The sequence below is a fragment of the Homo sapiens genome, chromosome 3, assembly GCF_000001405.40.
Source record: "Homo sapiens chromosome 3, GRCh38.p14 Primary Assembly".
Lineage (NCBI taxonomy): Eukaryota > Metazoa > Chordata > Mammalia > Primates > Hominidae > Homo > Homo sapiens.
In genome coordinates this window covers 119223411-119243088 of record NC_000003.12, presented here as the reverse complement: position 1 = coordinate 119243088, position 19678 = coordinate 119223411, and the positions used below count along the sequence as shown (strand labels likewise).

Genomic DNA, 19678 nt, shown 5'->3' with positions numbered 1-19678 from the left:
TTTCTATTGGACAAAACCGCCATCGTCATCATGGCCCGTTCTCAATGAGCTGTTGGGTACACCTCCCAGACAGGGTGGTGGCCGGGCAGAGGGGCTCCTCACTTCCCAGACGGGGCTGCCGGGCAGAGGGGCCCCCCACCTCCCAGACGGGGCGGCGGCCGGGCAGAGGGGCCCCCACCTCCCAGACGGGGCGGCGGCTGGGCAGAGGCGCCCCCCACCTCCCGGACGGGGCGGCTGGCCGGGCGGGGGCTGCCCCCCACTTGCCGGGCGGGGCGGCTGGCCAGGCGGGGGCTGCCCCCCCACCTCCCGGGCGGGGCGGCTGGCTGGGCGGCTGCCCCCCACCTCCCGGACCAGGCAGCTGCCCGGCGGAGGGGCTCCTCACTTCTCAGACAGGGCGGCCAGTCAGAGACGCTCCTCACCTCCCAGACGGGGTGGCGGCGGGGCAGAGACACTCCTCAGTTCCTAGACGGGTCGCCGCCGGGCAGAGGCATTCTTCACCTCTCAGACGGGGTGGTGGGGCAGAGGCGCTCCCCACATCCCAGATGATGGGCGGCCAGGCAGAGACGCTCCTCACTTCCTAGACGGGGTGGCGGCCGGGAAGAAGCGCTCCTCACTTTCCAGACTGGGCGGCTGGGCAGAGGGGCTCCCCACATCCCAGATGATGGGCGGCCAGGCAGAGACGCTCCTCACTTCCTATACGGCGTGGCAGCAGGGCAGAGGCTGCAATCTCGGCACTTTGGGAGGCCAAGGCAGGCGGCTGGGAGGTGGAGGTTGTAGCGATCCGAGATCAAGCCACTGCACTCCAGCCTGGGCAACATTGAGCACTGAGTGAGCGAGACTCCGTCTGCAATCCCGGCACCTCGGGAGGCCGAGGCTGGCAGACCACTCGCGGTCAGGAGCTGGAGACCAGCCCGGCCAACTCGGCGAAACCCCGTCTCCACCAAAAAATACGAAAACCAGTCAGGTGTGGCGGTGCGCGCCTGCAATCCCAGGCACTCGGCAGGCTGAGGCAGGGGAATCAGGCAGGGAGGCTGCCGTGAGCCGAGATGGCGGCAGTACAGTCCAGCCTCGGCTCGGCATCAGAGGGAGACCATGCAAAGGGGAGACGAGGACCGTGCAAAGGGGGGAGGGAGATGGGGAGGGAGACAGAGAGGGGGAGGGGGAGGGGAAAAGCTGAGTGATTCTTGCAAAAGGTATATATTATGCTTCCAGGCATCATATGCTCAAGACCTGGGGACTATGTGGGTATAAGTAACTGATTGTATAACGCCACTGGATGAAATCCAGTAATGTCCTTTTTCACTAAATGTGGTTATACACCCTTACAGCATGTTACAAAGGGAACACAAAAAAATAAGTTTCACACTGGACCTTGTTCAGGAGCAGTGTTGACCTATTTCACTGACCTATCCTCAACTGCCACTAGGTGGCCCTCTTTTCCAGCTTCCAAGGGCCTACATTGGGCCTATGCGGCCTCAGTATAGCCTCAGATTTCCTGCTATGAAGCTTAATGAGCCCAGCACTGGCTCTAGCTATGGTTTGTTCCTTTTTGGGTGGAGTGGATGTGTGGTTCTTGGAGAATCTACTACTTTCCCGTGAGTGCAGTGGGAGACTGCATTAGAGAATCTAGCTATCCTGACTGCCTAAACAGAGCCTACCATAATTTTTCACTCAAATCTTTAGTGTAAATATAATTGTCTTTGCTTTCTGTAATAATATCTTTGAAGAAATACGGATTTAAAAAAATCATTTAATATTCTCAGACCTGCAACATGGGAAAAATATTATTATTATTATTATCATTTTTGCAGTTGAGAGGGCTGAAATCTCGCAGGGTGATTAAGTTTATTAGCCTCTCTAAAGTCTCAGTTTCCCACTCTGTAAAATGGAAGGGTCCCTATCTCTTTCCTACTGCTTTGTGAGTATTTAAGGGGATGGAATTTGGGAAGCGCTCAGCACCCAGTCTACTATTGGCACAGGGTTTTAAAGCCACCCAGAGGCCGAGGCGTCAACCCTCCGTTTCCCTCCCGGTGCTCCTTCCAGCGCCCGGTGTGGTCGATTTGGCGGGGGTGGAGCGCCAGGCGCGTGCAGAGCCGGGCGGACCAGCCTCTCCGGCCAAGGCGGGAGGCGGAGCTCGTACTCAAGAGCCGCCTCCCGGGCGGCTGGGGCGGTCCCCGAGCTGCTTTCCGCGTTCTCCCCTCTCCGCGGGCAGTGCTAGCTCGCCGCGGCCGCCTCCGGGGTGAGTACGCTGGCTCCGCCGGCGCCCGGGAAATGCAGTTCCCTGGACACGGGCGCCGTGCGAGGGTAGCCGGGCGACGGCCGGGGTCAGTCCCAGGGCTGTAGCGGGGCGGGCGTGGGGATGACGTGGCGGCGTCCGTGGGGCAGTCCCGCCTCAGCCGGAGCGGTGGGCCGGGCCGGGGGCCTACGGAGGCCGAGCCTGGCGGGAGGCACCGGCTCAGGTGCTGGCGTTCCGCGCGGCGCCGCCTCTGCTGCGGGCCGGGGGAGCCAGACGAGGTGCTGCCGGGTAGGAAAAAATCCAGGGCTCATTCATACCCCAGGTCACGATTCCGGGGTCGCCCCCAGCACTTCTCCGCCGGGTGCATCAACCTGAAAAAGCCCCTTCTTCCTGGAAACCCTCCTTCTCCAGCGTTTCAACGGGGAAACTGATCAGCTGACACCAGCCCCAGTCCTGCGAGGGGCCGGCGACCTTTGACCTTTCTCCAAAGGGGTTGGTCACCTGGATTATAAAAGACTTCGGAGACAGCCATCCAGTGTTTGTTGATCTGTATCCCTTGATGTTCTGTCTTCCATTAGATAAGGGCTGTTAATTCTTGGTTTGAAAAAAAACAGACAAAGTCCAAAGGACTCTGCATCGAGGAGAGGCCTATGGGTTGGTAGCCTTAGGAGAGTAGTTATCAACAGTGGGTGGGTGTGCACACTGTTGCAAAGTGTTCCAGAGTGGGTGAGGGATGGGGACGTGGCGGTGGTGAGGGTACTGGTAGACCTCCTCAGCCGTTTGGTGATGAAAAGGAGGAAAAAGAAAATGGTAATCTGAGCGTGGAGGCGAGTTGTGGCTTTTTTTTTTTTTTTTAAATTTTTAAAGAAAGGAAAATAACACCTTTAAGATGCAAGAAAATCAAGGAGAGATCAGGATGAATAGGATTCAGGGTCCGGATTGAGAAACTGGGATTCAGAAGGGAGGGCTATTCCCGAGACCCAGGCGGGGAGTGCTGGAAGGTCTCTCTTGGGAGAGGAGATAATGCTTGATTGGATATAGTTCAGAAGTTTTTGGAATTTTGTCTTCTAGAGCAGGTTTGTTCTTTATGGAAATTGTAAACCCCATGAAATTGCAATAACTTTCGTCTACCTATAGCTTTGATCAGATTGAAAACATACGTTGTGAAAAAGTACTGACCTGGATTGAACTGTTTGACTACATAATCTAAGGGGAAGTGGATAGAGAGGGCAATAAAATCAGCTCTGTGGTTGTAGTTTATATGCCACTTAATATAATAAGTATTTAGTATCTACTTTAAGCCGAGCTAATAGTAATGCCTGCCTTTTCCAGAGATGCATGCAAATGTTTTGGGAACTAACCTTCTCTTTGAAGATCTTTTATTCAGTGGAAACATCCAAAGCAAATCAGTGATGGTTTTCTATTCTTTGTTTTAAGCCATCAGTGAACAGTGGTTTCTAAAACCTGGCTGTGTGACTCAGAGTTACCTAGGTTCTCGATAAAAATATAATTTTTTTTTTTTTTTTTGAGATGGAATCTGGCTCTGTGGCCCAGGCTGGAGTGCAGTGGCACAATCTTGGCTCACTGCAACCTACACCTCTCAGGTTCAAGCAATTCTCCTACCTCAGCCTCCCGAGTAGCTGGGACTACAGGCCCAGGCCACTACTCCCGGCTAATTTTTGTATTTTTAGTAGTGATGGGGTTTCACCATGTTGTCCAGGCTGGTCTGGAACTCCTGACCCCAAGTGATCCATTTGCCTCCCAAAGTGCTGGGATTACAGATGTGTACCATGGGCCCAGGCAAAAATATCAATTTCTTGACTCCACTTCAGGCCTTTGAAATAAAAATCTCTGGGGCTGGAGCCTGGGAATAGGCATTTCAAACACAGACCACAGTGTTCTCTGGCACTGAAGATTACTAACAGCCTCTGAAGTTTTTCTTTGAGATTGGGGCTTTTTGGCCTATTTAGAACAGGTTTTCTTAAAGGTTATATGAATGAATTGTCAAACTTATGTAACTAAAAGTTATAATTCCTGTCTGTGATGTTATCTTTAAATTTTAATGTACAGTCGTCCTCCTTATTCTTGGGGGATATGTTGCAAGACTGACAGTGGATGCCTGAAACCGTGGATAGTGCCAAACCCTATATACGCTGTTTTTTTCTATATATGCATACATATCTATACTAAAGTATAACTTATAAGTTAGGCACAGTAAGAGATGAATAATATCTAATAATAGAACAGTTACAATATGCTGTGATAAAAGATATGAATGTCATCTCTTTCTCAAAATATCTTACCGTATTTTTTTGTGGTTAACTGAAACCGCAGAAAGTGAAACCAAGGACTACTATATTTTAAAGGAAAACTATGTAGTCATTTTATCAGAAAACAATATTGTTTCTGTTGATGAAAACTCCATTTTAGAAAAATTAGAAGATACAAAAGAAATAGAAGTTTTCTCCTAATACTGTAATTAAGAGATGACCACCAGTGACTATCATTTTGTATGTAAAAGGTATGCACACACACATGTATTGCATAATTGGTATTATATTTTATATACTTTTTTTTTTTTTTTTTTTTAGAGACAGGGTCTCTGATGCCCAGGCTGGAGTGCAGTGGCATGATCTCAGCTCACTGCAGCCTCCGCCTCCCGGGTTCAGGTGATCCTCCTTCCTCAGCCTCCCAAGTAGCTGGGACTACAGGCATGCGCCACCATGCCAAGCTAATTTTTGTACTTTTAGTAGAGGAGGGGTTTCAACATGTTGGCCAAACTGGTCTTGAACTCCTGGCCTCAAGTGATCCTCCCGCCTCGGCCTTCCAAAGTGCTGGGATTACAGGCATGAGCCATCACACCCAGTCTTTATTTCATATACATTGTTATATCTTTTTTTCTACTTAGCTGTTATGAGCATTTTTCTGTGTAGTTATTGTAAACATTTTAATGAAAGCATATGTCCCATCATATGGATGTATTATAATTAATTAAATCAGATCGCTATTGTTAACATTTAGACTCTTCAATTTTTGGTTATTTTAGCAATGTTGGTTTGAATATCATGGTATACCTCTCTGATTATTTTCTTAGAATACATTTCTAAATGATGGAATCAAAAACCTTTCAAATACATTTTTAAAATCTCATTTTCACATATCTTCTTACTGCTTTTCCTTACCAGAGGGAAAACTAACATATCTGAAAGATTGATTGCATTCCAGGTCCATTCTCTTATATCAGTGGTTCTCAAACTTTAATGCAGATAAGAATCATTTGGGGAGCTTGTTAAAATTTCATTTTTCTGAGTCCTAGAGGCTGCTGTTCTGACCCATTGGCTTTGGAGTGGGGCCCAGGAATCTGCAGTTTTAACACATTCCTTTATGTATTTGATAAAGGCTCTCTTGGAACCAGATGTTGAGAAATGCTTTTTAAATAAATGGCCAAACAGACTCAAAACATTTAGGTTACTTGTCAAAAGCCATTCATGCATCTGATAACCAGAATTTGAACTCAGCTCTTTGTGACTTCAGAGCCCTGTTATACCCATGATCTCAGAGCTTTTTAAACCTTTTTAAGGTTTACGGTGAGGTGCCCCTAATGACTGCAGAAAGTAAACTCCTACTGACTCCACTGTTGGTTTCTTAGGGACAGCTGAAAGTCACATATAAGTACACAATGAACTTCTATTGGAACCTCCCATCAGAAATTCTGGTGAATTCTCTATTATGCTGCATAACATATACTACACAAAATAACTTTGGTTGTTTGGGTGTTGCAGGACCACCTGGCTTCATGTGTGGATTTCCACGGCTCTTGCCCAGAGGCGGGTACACTGTGTTCCAATGTGCCACGGAACTCACGCAGTGGCACTTTGTGGCTTCATGAAGGAAGAGGCAGGCCACGCAACACTTCCTCCCCAAGCCAAGGAGAAGTATCACTTTTAGAGGCAGAGGAGCGGAAGGCAGTGGGTGTGACCAAAAGTGCCATTTGTTAAAGGTGAGGACCCTACCCTTAGAAAAGTGTTGATATTAGTGAACTGAAGGGAGCTAGTATCGGGGTGAGCCTTTTTAATTTTTAAAATCCTTCTCAGGTGGAATTTTGTACTCATATTATTAATCTTTATTTCCCACCTTCTTTTTTAATGTTTCATTCCTTTTAGCAGTAGCCTGGAATTATGATGTGTCCTTGTGTATTTCAACTAGTATATCCTAGTCCGTCATTTGTTACTAAATTGAGTACCTGCTATGTGTCAGGTTGGTTTGAGGCACTAGGAATACAAAAACAATGATTCTCCTTGAGAATTAAGTTAATTTACTATCATTTGTTGACTCAGGTTATACCTAGTCTCTGACTCTTTATTTTTAGTTTTAGTTAATTTTAGACTTACAGAAAAGTTGTAAAAATGATACACAGTTCACCTAGCTTCCCCTAATATTAACCCCTTACATAACCATACTACATTGATCAATACTATTAACTAAACTACAAACTTTATTGAAAATTCATCAATTTTCCTACTAATGTCTGTTTTTTTTTTCTGTTCCCATTGTATTTTATCAAGGATCCTGCATTTTATTTAGTTTTTCTTTCTCCTTAGTCTCCTCCAATCTGAAATAGTTCCTCAGTTTTTCCTCGTCTTTCATGATTTTGATTCTTCGAAGAGTACCAGTTAGGTATATCGTGGAATGAACTTGTGGTGAGCGATTGGATTTCTCCACTACAAAGTTACTGTCTTTCCCTTTGTAGTTAAGAATTATCTTGGGGAAGATACTTTGAGACTATACTGTTTATCCTCAAATTTTTGCCTGTTAGTTTAGCATCCACTGGTGAACCTTGTCTGCAACAGTTATTAAGTGGTGTTTGCTGAGAGTGATTTTTTTTCCATCGCTCACTTTCTTACTAGTTGGAATTTAAGAAAAGAGCCGCCCCTTCTCTTCTATTCATTTATTTGTTTGATCATTTTTATCAGTGTAGACTAGTGGATAGTCACTTTATCCTATGGGTTAAAATACAGTGCCATCATTTTTTTTTTAAATTACTCAAATGCTTCTAGGTTGGGCTGTTAGGAGCTTAATCTCTGGGTTTAAATGACTTGTACATGTAAATGGCTGTCATCATTTTTATCCCATTCCTACCCTGCCCAGGGAACCACTGTCCCTTTAGGATCTGGCCAGTGATCATTTAGAAGTCTCCTAAAGGAGTTGTAATTGGGATAATGAATACCAAGGCCTAAGGAAAGTGGGGCAATGTGTGTGTAAAAGGTAAACTCCTAGGAACTCTGCAGGAGTAAAAAGAGTAGCAAAATAATCAGTCTTTCTTCTGGTGTTGCCCCAGGGAGCCCCAAGGCATCAGGATCATGTGCCTGGGACAACATCAAGCCCACTCACATGCCCTGTGTCTGCAAAATTACCTGATAGGTTCAGAGATGTTGGAATGCTGATTTTGGTGCTCATAGCTGCCGAATGAACACACCCTTTCTCCTTGGTGCAAATGCTTAGTAAATATTTTTAGAGTGATACATGGTGTCCTCCCCACCCACTTTAGTGGAGTAAAAATGTGTGTGGTTAGAGATTCTCCAAGAATGATACTTAGCACTTATGTTTCCTTTCCTTTTGTTATAGCTTATCTTCCTTGCCAGATTTTAAAAACTATTATGGAAAATCTCAAGCATTCACAAAAGTAGAGAGAAAGAAAGGACTCTCAGGTACCTATCACTTATATTCAAGACTTCTCAGTATTTTATCCGTCTTGTTTCATCTGTTCTCCCACTTTGGGATGTTGTTCTCATATTTGACAGGAAATTGCAGACATTGAGATCTAGAAAAAGATAGAAATAAACCCTGAGTACAAAGACTAGGCTTTAATTCTCTTTATATGGTTTTCCCTTTGCTTGAAAATAGCAGGTAGTCAGAAAAAGACTGGTTGAATTGAGTGGAGGAAAACCAAATATGAAAACATGACCATTTTTAACTAACTACGGGGCAGACTTCTAGAAAGGAAAAGAGTGGTAAATCTTGCCCTAAATAACTTCTTTCATGTTGCCTGAATTTGTTCTCAATACTGATGATGTAGTCCCTTGGCACTTCAAGACAGCCTTGACTGAAAAAGAAAATAACTCTGAGACTCCTGTGAGAATTAAGGGTCTCTCAATTACTTAAATGTTAGTGTAAATAAATCCAATATGATGGCACTTTCCCAAACACCAACCAGGAGTCACTTGCCCTAAAAATAACTTTCTTTAAAAAGTCATTATGTTTTTCTAATTATAAAAATATTACATACTCATTAAAAGAAAAAATGGAAATTACAGAGTTAGAAAGTAAAAATCATCTCATTAATCCCAGAGATAACATTATCTTGGGCAATATTCTGATAACATTTGAACATGAATCACATTGGTAATTAGAGCCAATAAATACATGTGTTCCTGGCCAGGCATGGTGGCTCACGCCTGTAATCCCAGCACTTTGGGAGGCTGAGGTGGGCAGATCATTTGAGGTCAGGAGTTTGAGACCAGCCTGGCCAACATGGTGAAACTCTGTCTCTACTAAAAATAAAGAAAAATTAGCTGGGTATGGTGGGGCATGCCTGTAATCCCAGCTACTTGGGAGGCTGAGGCAGGAGAATCGCTTGAACCTGGGAGGCGGAGGTTGCAGTGAGCTGAGATCACACCACTGCACTCCGGCCAGGCCGACAGAGGGAGACTCCGTCTCAAAAAAGAAAAAAAAAAAACTTGTGTCCTGGAAATGTACCAGATATAACAGTGTACTTGGGTGCATCATCTCATTAAATTCCTAGAGCAACTTTGTGAGATAAATATTTTTCATCATTTTATAGCTGGGACACAACGGTGAGAGGGGTTGCCTCCAGTCACTTGGCTGGTCTTTCTTGAAACATAGATGGACAGACAGATGACAGACCCTTCACACTTCAGATGTTTACTCACAGGAGCCAAGGAAACCTTACTTCTGAACTTCCTTATGCTGGCTCTCTGTACAGTTTTTGGGAGAGCACTTAGACTTAGAAAGATAGGTAAGAATTATTTTTAACTGGGTCAGATGTCTCAGAAGCAGGATTAGTAATGAAGGCCTAATACTTAAGTAATTATTAATAATGGCTCCTTGCTTTTAGAATAAATGTCTTACCTTTGAACAGAGTCTGTAAGCTGCAGTTGAGCAATATTAGTTTATGAATATTTGCAGCTATTCTTGGATAGGTTTTTTTGTTTTTGTTTTTTTAAATTACAGTCATCCCTCAGTATATGGAAGGAATTGGCTCCAGGACCCCTGCATCTACCCAAATCCATGCATGCTCAAGTCCTTTTGTCAGCCCTGAGGAACCCACATATTGGAAAAGTTGGCCCTCTGTATACACAGGTTTTGCATACCGGGAATATTGTATTTTTGGTCTGCATTTGGTTGAAAACAATCTGAGTATAAGTGGAGCCGTGCAGTTCAAACCCATGTTGTTCAAGGTTCAGCTGTATTTTTTAGGACAGTTTTAGATTCTTAACCAAACTGAGCAGAAGATACAGAGATTTCCCATGTACCCCGTGCCTTGGGTAGGTTTTTAAATCTCTTCCCACTCTGTAGAATGAGGGAGGTGGATGTGTGGTCTTTAAGATCTTTTCTGATTTCAACACTGCAGTAATTTTATGGTCATAACCTCCTTCCACTTGGCGATTCTCTCTTCCAGGGGACTCTCCCTCTAAAAATAGCTCTTAGAAAAGCCATGTTCCCAGGGCTGGGTGCGGTGGCTCACACCTGTAATCCTAGCACTTTGGGAGGCCAAGGTGGATGGATCGCTTGAGGCCAGGAGTTCAAGACCAGCCTGGACAACATGGTGAAACCTTGGCTCTACTAAAAATACAAAAATTAACTGGGCGTAGTGGTGCACGCCTGTAATCCCAGCTGCTTGGGAGGCTGAGGCACTAGAATTGCTTGAACCGGGAGGTAGAGGTTGCAGTGAGCTGAGATTGTGCCACGGCACTCTAGCCTGGGCAATAGAGTGAGACCCTGTCTCAAAAAATAAAAATAAAAAATAAATAAAGATAAGCAATGTTCCCAGTCTGAATTTTCTAAGATTAAGATCCTTATTTTAAAAATTGCCAATCCTAGCATTTAAGCCTCCTACAATTAAGTCCACAAGAGGTTGTCTGATTGGCCCCAGGAACCTGATGACTTACTGTCACCAGGTGGGAAGAGAACAGACCTCCAGGAAGGCATTTGATCAGACAGTCCCTAGGAAACGGAAGGCAGATGTGGGAGAGAGGTAGAAGGCCCCCAAGGGAACCTGAATATTCAAGGGTCTGTGTTGGGACTACCCAGGCACCAAGGGGAGAAAAGAGGAAATATCCATGTGAAGGATGTGGAGCTGAGCACCTGGGCGGAGACCCCACGCTACCACTTACTAGTCGTGTGGGCTTTGGCAAGGTACTTAAATCTCTCCAAACCTTCCTTTCCTTTTCTTACCTGTAAGATGAGACTAGTAATTCTTACATCATATGGTTAAATGAGAATTACATAGGTTAATATAAGTGATTTTACCCCAGTGCATGGCACAGAGTAAATGCACACATAAATTGCCCTTTTTATTTGTTATTACTGCTTTCAGCATTGACTTCCTGTGATACCTTCACAGGACCCTGAACACAGGCCATATTGTTTAATTGCTTCCTGGGTCAAACATTCCCCAAGAACTAACCTCCCTTTTCATCTATAGCATTGTGTTTAGAGAGAAATATTTTCTAGGTTTCCTTCAAACTAACCTGAAACTAAATTTCTGGAGTTGTATCCTTTAGTAAGTGTGAAACTATCTTGAGAGTTTCTGAGGTGGTTGTTGTTTTTTACAGTTACTTACTGCCTCTCTATTCACCATTAAAAAAATTCACTTTGTTTTCATTGTAAGACTGCCATATTATAAAATGATATATGTAAAATATATGTAAATATGACAATATGTGATATACAAAAATATATACATTTATATAAAATATATTAAAAATTCTAAAAATATAAAATATATTAAAATATAAAATATATTATTTTATATTTTATAAAATATACTATTAAAAATTATTAAATAAAATAAAATTTATAAAATAAATTTTATAAAAATAAAAATTATTAAAAATATAAAATATATTATTAAAAATTCTAAAAAGAAAAGAGAAAAAATAAACCACCCCAGCGAATCCCATTCTCCTAATATAATTATTATTAGCTTTCTAGACTTTCCTTAATTGTATATATTGTTAGTTGTAATCATAGCACAGATATAGGGCTTACTTTCTGTTTTTCTTTTTGTCATTTAAGATTTAATCATAAGTGTTTCCATGTGATTATTTAGCATAGAAAATATTTTGGTCTCCATTTTATTTGTTTGAGAATATGTTTGTCTATGGAGATTATCTGTGCCCTAGCTTTAGCATTTTCTGTGTTCTTCTGAGAACATGTTTAGAATTTGAGGAGAGACGTGATTTGTCCACACAGAGAGGATATGGTGGATGTTGCTGGCGGCAAACCAGGTATCCTTGTCAGGTGGCCTTTACCACTTTAGTGTATTTTCTGTGGTCCAGGGTGGGCCCTCAGCTAGGTGGTCTTAAAAACATGATTTTTGTCAATAATTAAGAGCATAGCCCCCTCTTAGAAGTGAATTCATATTATCCCATCTCATGCTACTGAAGTATGAAATCAGAGTGGCAATTTATCAGCTGACAGTGAGAAATACAGTACAAAAAGTGGTGTTTCAGTGTGTCTACTTGTTGGTCAAGGTGGGATAACACTTTACATATTAATAAATTAGGTCATCTAAGCCCCACAATAACTTTTCTAGGTAGATACTATTTTTATCCCCATTTTACAGATAAGGAAACTGAGGCTTAGTTAAATGACTGGCCCAAGGTTATGTAGCTGTTATGTGGTAGAGCTGTAGTTTCTGTCTAAGTCCAAACTCCTGATCTTAAACACTGTGCTGTAGTTTTGTTATTCTTACAGATAGATTGTTGACCTCCTGTTTGGGATTCTCATAATGTTTCTTGACAGACTCCCTCCTGGCCCCCATTGCAATGTGCCCTGTGCCAGTGCCTCTTTGAGAATATAGCATTCATTCCCTGTTGTTGAGGACCATGTTTTTCTAGCTGTCACAGGGGAGAAGAACTTTTCCCTTTTCCCTTATTTTCTCTTTGGGTCAAAATGTGCTTCTGTAACAAGGCTTCACATTTTTTTAAATCCTCCTTAAAACTGTGCCAGGAAGGGGCAACTGAGGCAGAGAACCATTAGGGCTATGTCTTAGGCTGTGTCCAGCTCAGGTCTTTGCAGTCTCCTTGTCTCCTTTGCCTATTTGTTCTGTCCAACATTTGGAAATTGCTTCCCTTCTTGGGTGGCAGACAGCCTGGCTGATAAACTAGAGAGTGCTTCTGTGATGTATTGATGCTTGGAACCTCTAAAACCTCTGGTTTTCGAATCTCTAAATGCTAAGTGGAAGACCTACCATTACGGTTAGTCAAGGTCCATCGGGGATGGGTTTTCAGTTTGTGCTGGAGTGAATCACTTCAGGATAGAATTTCCATTTGAAACAACGTGTCTTTTGTGATTGCGTTTTAGACTGTTGGAGCAGAACTACTGAGAAAAACCAGGCATTGTATCTTCAGTTGTCATCAAGTTCGCAATCAGATTGGAAAAGCTCAACTTGAAGCTTTCTTGCCTGCAGTGAAGCAGAGAGATAGATATTATTCACGTAATAAAAAACATGGGCTTCAACCTGACTTTCCACCTTTCCTACAAATTCCGATTACTGTTGCTGTTGACTTTGTGCCTGACAGTGGTTGGGTGGGCCACCAGTAACTACTTCGTGGGTGCCATTCAAGAGATTCCTAAAGCAAAGGAGTTCATGGCTAATTTCCATAAGACCCTCATTTTGGGGAAGGGAAAAACTCTGACTAATGAAGCATCCACGAAGAAGGTAGAACTTGACAACTGCCCTTCTGTGTCTCCTTACCTCAGTAAGTGTTGCTTTTTTCCTTTGATTAAGTAGTATGCAAACTTTTTATTTAAGTATAATATGTACTTGCCTGTATCAAAACATCTCATGTACCCCATAAATATATATATCTCCTGTGTCACAAAAACTATACATTCAAATAAAATAAATATAACATGTACAAGAAAGTACAAAACTCAGAAGTGTACCACTTGGTTAAGTTTCAGAAAATGAACATACTTGTTTAACAAGCATGTAAATTAAGAAATGGAATCTTGCTGGAACCATAGGAACTCCCATGTTTCTTTCAGTCACCACTCCGGCTTCAAGATTCTAACTCTACACATTAGATTTTTCCTATTTTGGAACTTTACAAATCGGAAGCATACGTTATGTACTCTTTTGTATTTGGCTTCTGTTGCTTAACGTTACTTTTGTGAGATCTGTTCTTATGGTTGCGTGCAGCTATGGTTTGTCCATTTTCATTGATGTATAGTATTCCGTCATAGGAACAGACCCACTTTTATTATCCAGCCACAAAAGTTTAGCAGCACACATTAGTAGCGTCCATTGATCTAGGCTGGTGGCTCTGCCCCATGTGCCTCCTGTCCTCCTCCTGAAACTAGTGGGCTAGCCTGGGTATGTTCTCCTCATGGCATCAGCAGAGCACCAGAGCATGAGAGGAGAAATGCAAGCACATTCAAGCCTCAGTGGGGTCACATCTGTTGTATTCCTTTGGCCAAAACTATGGAGTCAAGGGACAGAGACTAGGTAAGTTTTTCAATGTGGTCTTTAGTGTTTATTTCTTAAATATGTTGTATGTTTTGGTTCACCTTTTATGTCTTGCCTCTCAACTTATGTTAAACAGTAAATTAGTCTTAAGATCAGGGTGCCAGCATGGTCAGGGCCCTCTTACTGGATATTGTCCTCACATGCCTTTCCTTGGTGTGTGTGCGCACACACATACATGCAGGGGGAAAGGGAAAGAGAGAGGGAGAGAGAAAGACAGAGATAGATAGATCTCATGCCTCTTGCTCTTTTTATAAGTGCTTTAATCCCACCTGGCAGCTCCACCCTTATGATGATCTCATCTAAACCTAGTTACTTCCCAGAGGCCCCACAGTGGGCATTAGGAATTCAACATATGAATTTTTGGGGACACAGACATTCAGTCTGTGTACCCCTTTCCTAGTTGAGTCACAGTCCTGTATTGTATTCATATTGGCATGCTGCTTCTCTTTAGTCATGGAAGAGTCAAAGTGTTATTCCTGATTGTGTATTCCTTCACAGATTATACAAGCTGCGATGTAAAAATGAGTCAGGGAAATGCAAATTTTACTGGCTGATTATTCCCCTTGCTTAAAATGCTCACAGTATATTTAAACAGTAAATTCATTCATAAAGAATAGAGGGACAGTGATGCATTACTGGGCAAGTACTGGACTAAAGGTGATGTGGTTGGTGATGACTTAAAATGGGCCATTAGTGACCCAAGGAGGGGCAGATCTTGAGAAGATGTTGGGGTAGGGGGAGTGATAGGGAGACTGATAGAGAGTAAGTGGAAGCAGATACTAGGTTAGGGCACGTAAAAAGTTATGACGATGAGAAGGTGAGCCGGGGGACTAGTTTATATTAGACCTGTTGCGTGAGGCTCTTTGAGCGCGCAAGAACAGAGACACAGTCAGGTTAACGATGGGGATTGTGAACAGGCCACACAGGAGACCATCTCAACAGCTACCCCATTATCTCTGGTAGCTCGATAGCCCAGCATCAGCTCTAGTAGTTGTCATCTGTGTAACTCCATTCCTTACTGTTTGTTTTTAGGGCATTACTGACTGCTGTGTCTTGCATGTAGACCCTGCAGGAAGGCTCTCGTAGGCCAATTATTCTCTTTGGGTGGCTTGAAGAAGTTACTTACCTTGCCTGCTGTTGAGCAGAGCACCAAGGTGCCATTAGACACGTGAGCCTGGTCTAAGCAGCCATGGCCAGGGTAGGGGATGGTTACATGGAACAAGTCATGGCGACTTTCGCACAGGAAGGGCCTATGACTGCTTTACTCAGAAGGGGATAGCTCAATTTGCAAGCATCTTGAGATTTTACAGCCTGACCAGTATACGTGGAATTTAGAAACAAACAAACAAAAAAACCTGAGCTGTTTTCCTCCTGTGGATGGCTTTGGGTTTCATCTGTTTGGATTGCTTCCAGACACTGAGCAAATACTGTGCTCGATTGGAAACGTCTGTTGTGGTGGCAAAATGGGAGAGTTGTTGCAGTGCCACACATACCTGTTACAGCTGGGTTAGGGAGGGAGACTGGTTTCTACTTCTTTTTAGTGCTTTGCTTACAGGGAGCCAGGGTGGTTCCAGAGTTTAGGGAAGGGGTGGGAAGAGTGCCTTGTCCAGGAGCTTGATTCTGTGGAATGCTGTTGATATTTAAGAGATTTTCCCCTCCTCCTGGAATTTGGTGAAGGAAAAGAGGATAGACCAAAGTTGAAGTTACTCTGTCTAGCCCTGCCCTTTGCTCTTACCAGAGTTCACCAGGATATTCCCTCTTACAGATGGATCATAGAGCAAGTTGATTACCCAGCCACAAGGAAATGCTTATATTATATATCCACCACTTGCTTTTGCAGCCAGTAACCTTAGTGACATGATGCTCTGGCCATTATCATGACTAAATGAGCCTTTAAAGTAATCATAATAAAAGCTGACATTTGTAGTACTCACTGTGAGCTGGGCAGTGTTCTTTCTATGCATATTAGCTCGTGTAAACCTCAACACTTTTTGAAGTAGCTACTGTTATTGTCTGTGTCCTATGTTCATTGTAGGAGGCCAGAGCAAGCTCATTTTCAAACCAGATCTCACTTTGGAAGAGGTACAGGCAGAAAATCCCAAAGTGTCCAGAGGCCGGTATCGCCCTCAGGAATGTAAAGCTTTACAGAGGGTCGCCATCCTCGTTCCCCACCGGAACAGAGAGAAACACCTGATGTACCTGCTGGAACATCTGCATCCCTTCCTGCAGAGGCAGCAGCTGGATTATGGCATCTACGTCATCCACCAGGTGAGCGTGGGGGCAGACCAGGGCCTGCCCTCGACCCTCCTCTTCTCTGCCAGACTTGGCCATGTGACTGTTTGTCTATGTTGGGTAAAAGGAACATCAGACTATCATCAAAAACGAGTTCTCTTACCTCATTTATCCTTGAAAGGAGTAGAGGAAATTCTTGTCTCAGAGTGTGGAGTTATGGGTTCAAGTTCTGGGAAATTTTACTGCCCTTAAAGGAACCTCTGGAGGAAGCCTGTTTTGTGAGCCCTTCCATGTTAGCCAATGACTGCCCTCAGATTTCCCCGGAGGCTTCCTGGCCCCTTCTGTTTCTTTCTGTGCGTGCCATGCACTATATGATGAGATTCTGGAATTGTCTGTCATTATCAACCATAGCAACTCAATGGGGATCTAGACAGAGGATTTGAAAGAACATTCTGTATTAGTAGCTGTGGTGCTCTATGGCTGCCACCACATTTCTGCCCTGAACTTTGCCACTATTTATTATGTGAAACATATTATGTTTGATTTTCACTTTCTGGATTCATCTATTTGACTTCCAGAAGCATGATTTGGTAGGAGCACAGCATAACTATCGGCTGCTTTTGAAGAGCTTACCTCTGAGGTCAGTGGAGTGGATGATTAAAGATACCTCTATTTGGCATTAAAGTTTATTGAAAGAAAACTAAGACATCAGTTTAAACATCAGTGTCTAAACTTTTCACAGTTATCCTTGGCCATCCAAGGAGGCCAAGAAGAGGGATAATTCCCCCTCAAATTCTTATAAATTCTAAGAATGTCAGCAAAATCATCACTACTGTTAGAACAGGTAATATTTCTTTTAGATAAAACTTTGGACAACTCAGAGGACCAGCTCTGCAGTATAGACTTGGTGATAAACTGAGGCTCTTGAAAATCAGTGTGCTTATATAGCACACCTATGTCTGTATTTTAGTACTTGGAACAAAATGTTACTATTATATTGTTTTATAGCTATTTTTGTTTTTAAGGTTGTTGGTCATAGTTATGATTTATTTGATTCTGAGTTCTTGCTCAGGACAGTAACCTACAAGGTATAGTACTATTTTTATGAATAGAAAAACATGTTTGCTTTGGGCCAGGCCCGGTGGCTCAGCACTTTGGGAGGCCAAGGTGGGTGGATCACTTGAGGATAGGAGTTTGAGACTAGCCTGGCCAGCATAGTGAAACCCTGTCTCTACTAAAAATACAAAATACTCTGTTAAAATACTAAAAAAAAAAAAAAAATTAGTTGGGTGTGGTGGCACATGCCTGTAGTCCCAGCTACCCAGGAGGCTGAGGCAGGAGAATCACTTGAACCCAGGAGGTGGAGGCTGCAGTGAGGTAAGATCACACCACTGCACTCCAGCCTGGGCAACAGAGCGAGATTCCATCTCAAATTAAAAAAAAAGAAAAAGAGAAAGAGAAAAATATGTCTGCTTCGTGTTATTCTTATCAGGAAAACATTGTGGTAACTTCTGAGAAATACTTGCACTTTTATGATAAACCACTTAACTGGAATTCATTCTGAAGGAATTTGAATGAAGCAGCCATGAAAAAATTATTTAATTTTTTTATTACAGCTTCAATCATATTACAGGTCAAACTGTGTTCTTTTATTGCCCAGTGACGAATCTACCTCCATAAGGCCACTGTGAGGATTAGCCTCCACCAGTAGCATTATAACAGGATTCTCTTACAGGGATTTCTGAGAAACTTTAAAGTAGCTTAGAAATATTAGCAATAACTTTCTCTTTCTATAGGTTGAGATTTCTTGATCCTTTCTGGCAAGCTATTAACTAAGTCTCTTAGAAGCTTAGTGTAAATTCATAACAGAGGGTAAGATTGGGATTACCTAGGGTTGAACTGTGAAGCAGTAATACTAATTGACATGACTAGTATATAAGAAAGGTTTTGTAGTTTTATACAGAATACGTAAAGGTATTTGTAAAATTTTAAGAGAAAATTTTTTTTTGTTAACTGTGGTAAGAATATTTAACATGAGAGCTATACTCAATACATTTTAAGTGTACATTATTATTGATTATTTGAGTTATTTGTATTTTAAAGCTGCTTTTAAAAAATTTTTAATTGTGAAACACACGATGTAAAATTTACCATCTTAACTTTTTTTAACTTTTTAAAATTTTTGCTATCTTAACTATTATTGAGTGTGCAGTTTAGTAATGTTAAGAATATTTACATGCAATGTATCTATGCATAATTATGCAATATATTGGTTGCATAAATATATGCAGTGTATTTATGAAATCAATCTCCAGAACTTAATCTTGCAAAACTGGAACTCTCTATCATTAAACAACAAGTCTTTGGATTTCAAGGACTGTTTCTAAGTTCTGGAATATAAGTATGTGTGAAGCACGAAGAAAAAAATCAAATGGTCTTTTATTGTCATTGCATCTTCTCTGTCAGATCTTTATGTCACAAGTGTAGTCTCGTGCGTAGAATAATTAGAATAATACCATCTCCTGAATCCTAACTAAGAGGCAAACAATATGAAACTTTATCTCAGGAGCTTTTCAAGTTTTAATTTTCATATCTCTAGGCTGAAGGTAAAAAGTTTAATCGAGCCAAACTCTTGAATGTGGGCTATCTAGAAGCCCTCAAGGAAGAAAATTGGGACTGCTTTATATTCCACGATGTGGACCTGGTACCCGAGAATGACTTTAACCTTTACAAGTGTGAGGAGCATCCCAAGCATCTGGTGGTTGGCAGGAACAGCACTGGGTACAGGTAAGGTGGTTCTGCTGAGGGTGGCTTAGGTCGAGAAGCTCAACTATTGTGATCAAGACTGGGTGGAACAAGCATCCAGAGTGTCATAAGAAAATGAGAAATAGAAAAAATGGTCCATAATGTATGCATCACTTAAAGTGCAAAACAGAAGTTAGAGAATGTAATGAGGAAAAAGCCCTACAACTTCAGCAGAGGATCACAAAGACAAGGGAAAGCATTGGAGAGAAATATCATCCAAGCATTGCAGGTGGTGGCCAGTCTCACCCGCAGCGCCCCTGTCGGGGGGCTTTCGCAAGCTTTCCCACACTGACTAGAATGCAAGTAACTTGTTTGTCTATTCCTGACTCCCCCTCTAGGAGGCAACAGGCTGGTGTCCTTAGTGAGACCTCTGTTGAGACATCACTTTCCAGACTGTGGCCTCTTTCTAGAGTATGGGGAGAGGTGGGGGAGGGCATGTCCTCTGAGTAGTCTTCTCGGGAGCCAGGACACCCAGGACAAGTTCATTTCTCTCAAAGCCACTGTGAGAAGTGCCAGATGCCATCATCTGTGTCTTCATTCCCCATCCCCTCCACCCTTAAGAAGGGTGTAGCTGCTTTTCAGCCTTATTTGATTCACCAGCTCCTATTCAAGCACAACCAAGCGGGAAT

The 19678-nt window shown here is 42.7% G+C and overlaps 1 protein-coding gene and 1 long non-coding RNA gene across 20 annotated transcripts in view, besides 3 other annotated features; one reads left to right on the top strand and one right to left on the bottom strand.

The window, feature by feature from the left end:
* B4GALT4-AS1 (B4GALT4 antisense RNA 1) overlaps positions 1-16603 on the bottom strand; it is a 64181-nt gene extending 47578 nt beyond the window's left edge. The window contains exons 1-3 of the long non-coding RNA NR_046574.1: positions 16408-16603; positions 12732-12944; positions 7949-8057 (exon numbers count right to left, since the gene is read on the bottom strand). This is a non-coding gene — a long non-coding RNA (B4GALT4 antisense RNA 1). The remainder of the gene's footprint in view (positions 1-7948; positions 8058-12731; positions 12945-16407) is intronic.
* Positions 1345-1394: a silencer, noted in NCBI's record as "silent region_14626". NCBI's record gives its function as "represses an Ori minimal core promoter by ATAC-STARR-seq in GM12878 lymphoblastoid cells {active_cell/tissue: GM12878}" and the evidence as "EXISTENCE:reporter gene assay evidence [ECO:0000049][PMID:35858748]".
* Positions 2045-2524: a silencer, noted in NCBI's record as "silent region_14625". NCBI's record gives its function as "represses an Ori minimal core promoter by ATAC-STARR-seq in GM12878 lymphoblastoid cells {active_cell/tissue: GM12878}" and the evidence as "EXISTENCE:reporter gene assay evidence [ECO:0000049][PMID:35858748]".
* B4GALT4 (beta-1,4-galactosyltransferase 4) overlaps positions 2211-19678 on the top strand; it is a 29137-nt gene continuing 11669 nt past the window's right edge. For 2 of the 19 annotated variants that reach the window (NM_212543.2, XM_047449127.1), the window contains exons 1-6: positions 2211-2239; positions 6019-6236; positions 7862-7944; positions 12845-13242; positions 16048-16280; positions 18844-19031. In NM_212543.2, coding sequence (NP_997708.1) covers positions 12990-13242; positions 16048-16280; positions 18844-19031 — 674 coding nt within the window. In that variant the 5' untranslated portion in view covers positions 2211-2239; positions 6019-6236; positions 7862-7944; positions 12845-12989. Of the gene's footprint in view, positions 2325-2394; positions 2525-2544; positions 2891-6018; positions 6237-6837; positions 6937-7861; positions 7945-12844; positions 13243-16047; positions 16281-18843; positions 19032-19678 lie in introns of those variants that run through there. The other 17 variants (NM_003778.4, XM_047449125.1, XM_005247855.1 and 14 more) reach the window with 15 other exon arrangements.
* Positions 17629-17801: a silencer, noted in NCBI's record as "fragment chr3:118944135-118944307 (GRCh37/hg19 assembly coordinates)". NCBI's record gives its function as "represses an EF-1alpha promoter that drives an FKBP-Casp9 reporter gene in an ReSE screen in K562 erythroleukemia cells {active_cell/tissue: K562}" and the evidence as "EXISTENCE:reporter gene assay evidence [ECO:0000049][PMID:32094911]".